General features: G+C 38.1%; 1 pseudogene; it reads right to left on the bottom strand.

The window, feature by feature from the left end:
- Positions 1,777–2,313, bottom strand: MARK2P12 (MARK2 pseudogene 12; annotated as a pseudogene).

Raw genomic sequence — 2,634 nt, forward strand, 5'->3', positions numbered from 1 at the left:
TGTTGGGCCACATTCAAAGCTGTCCTGGGCCACATGTGGCACACGGTCTGTGGGTCGGACAAGTTTGGACAATATCCCAGAGCCTAGCCTGGTGTCTAGTTTATAGTAGGGGCTCAGCATATACATGTTGAATATATATGTGAGTAAATGAGTGAATAAACATAAGAAAATGAGTGAATTAAAAATGAGCAAATCAATGGATGGTACTGGTAGAGCAGCAAGAATACTAATGAGAAGGGTAGCCCACATAGGCCACCATGAGTGAGGTCCTGCCCTTCAAGCAATCAACATGAGATAGGGCCAGGAGTAGCAAATGTTTTAGGGTCAGTAAGGAAAAGTTCCCAAGCAATGGGGGAATCCAGAAGCTGTTTCTGGGAATAAAGAACATAAGTTATCCCTGGAGGTGTTCCAAAGTTAAATTTGACCTGTTTGTTAATTTTCCTTGTGTTGACCACATCAGAATACACTGAACGATTACTGCAATGTCATCCCACAACCTCAAAAGACAGTATGTAGAGAAGGGCCATGACAGCATCTCTTTAAATATGTATTTAGTCATTATAGAGTTTGTAAGTTCTGGACTCTGATAATCCTCAAACTCTTCACACAATTGTTTGTTGTAACTGATGTCATCTTTTATGCTTAATTGAACTACTTGTTCTTAAGATGACTCAGGACACAAAGACATTGGATACATATGAAATATTGCCATACCATAACCATTTGATTCTTGATGACTTACCTTAAAGAATAGTGTATTACTTCCACTTTCCCATGACATTTAAATCTTGGCTTATGAGATTCCTAGGAAAGGAAGTACAAAAAGATCCAGAACAAATCAGAATTCAGTTGTCTGTGTGATCTAGCTGCCCCTCCCATTACCTTTAAGCTATACGTAGATGGGCCAAAAATGTAGAAGTCTTACAGGATATAAAATATTTTATCTTTTGTTCTGGGCTAATAAATAGAGATATCAATTTCATGGTGATCGTCACTGATCTTTACTTTAAAAACTGATAATTCATTTTTTGGTTCAAGGTAGACTAATAACTGTGATATCATTGCTCTTTTTGAGCATGTCGCTCATACACATAGGCTCAAGGAAGAGTCATAATTAGGCTGGAATTTTATATACTGCTTCTGCAATAAGGGGATATCGTTAGTATTTTCAAAAATATAATCTCTTTAGCTTTTGTTCAAATATGATTCAAATTTTAAAAAGTAAGACTTTATTTTTAAGAGCAGTTTTAGGTTTCTGGGGAAATTAAGCAGAAAGAGAGTTTCCAGTACTTCCTCTATCCCCAACACCACACTTTCCCCATTATTAAAATTTTGTTTTAGGGTGGTACATTTTTACAGCTGATGAACCAATATTGATATCTTATTAAAGTTCATAGTTGACACTAGTTTTTCTCTCTGTGTTGTCTAATTTTATGGGTTTTGACAGTTATGTAATGCCATGTATCCACCATTATACATAATAAAAACTGTCCTAAAATTTATTGTGCTCCACCTATTTATCTCTCCCTCCTCTCAACCTCTCAATGATTTAATTTGTAAAAAATTATAGACATGTGCAAACTACCATGGAGGTCTCTACGTGGGATTCAAGTCATGTTCCTTTAGTTATTATCATGTTTCTGGCATTATTCTATTTTGCTGTAAAATTAGCCAGGGCTTCCACTGGACCACTAGGAGATTTGTCAACTTTATGTTAAAAACATTTTGCTTCTTGCCAACCTAAAAGACCTGCCTTAGAGAGAGAAATAAGGTGTTAGGGACTTGGTAACCATGGCCCAGGAAGAGTTCTGGGGCAACATAAGAGCAAGTCCCATAAAAGGCTCCCAGCATCTCTCCTTCTGCAAATGTGGTGCTGAAACCAAAGTTGACTATATTTAAGTTATGTTCTTCATGCAGTAGGATGTTCTGCGGCTTCAGGTCCCAGTTCACGATTTTCTTTCTGTAGCTGTACTGGAGGGTGGACGGTGTCTGCTTAAACATGGCCCGGGCCTTCTTGTCATCTTTGATGTGGCTGTGATGGTGTATTTGGTGGAAAAGCACTCCTTCGAGGGCATATTCCATCACTAAATAGGGTGTCCACCTGCCAATCACCTGGTTGAGTTTAATGATGTTCAGGTGATTCGGGACCTTCATGATTTCTACCTCTTTCTGTAGAGAGAGGCTAGGGAAGCCACTCATTTTATAGATGATTTTTGTAACCACCTGTGTCCCAGTCAGTATGTGCCCTGTTAGCTTCACCTTGACGAACACGCCCCTGCCAATGGTCTTGAGGAGCATGTACTTTTTGATCTCCTCCCTAGGTGAGTTGGAGGCCAAACTCTGCTACATGGTGCCTCCTAACTACAAATCCTACCTATGCAAGCTATGCTAACTCATGAACAATGCCAACTGTACTAGCTAGGCTAACACTGCTAATAGACTCCACCAATTGTATTAACTTTGCTAATACTACTAAGTATTATTAGTATGCTAATAATAACTATGCTAACAATACAAACCAACAATACTAACTATACTAACTGCACTAGAAATCCTAACTAAAAAAGTTAAATGGGAAAAAAGAAAAAAGTGAGAAAAATTGCAAAGAAAATAGATGAAATGGGAAAAAGAAAA

The sequence above is a fragment of the Homo sapiens genome, chromosome 13 (genome assembly GCF_000001405.40).
Source record: "Homo sapiens chromosome 13, GRCh38.p14 Primary Assembly".
In the NCBI taxonomy this organism is placed as follows: Eukaryota; Metazoa; Chordata; class Mammalia; order Primates; family Hominidae; genus Homo; species Homo sapiens.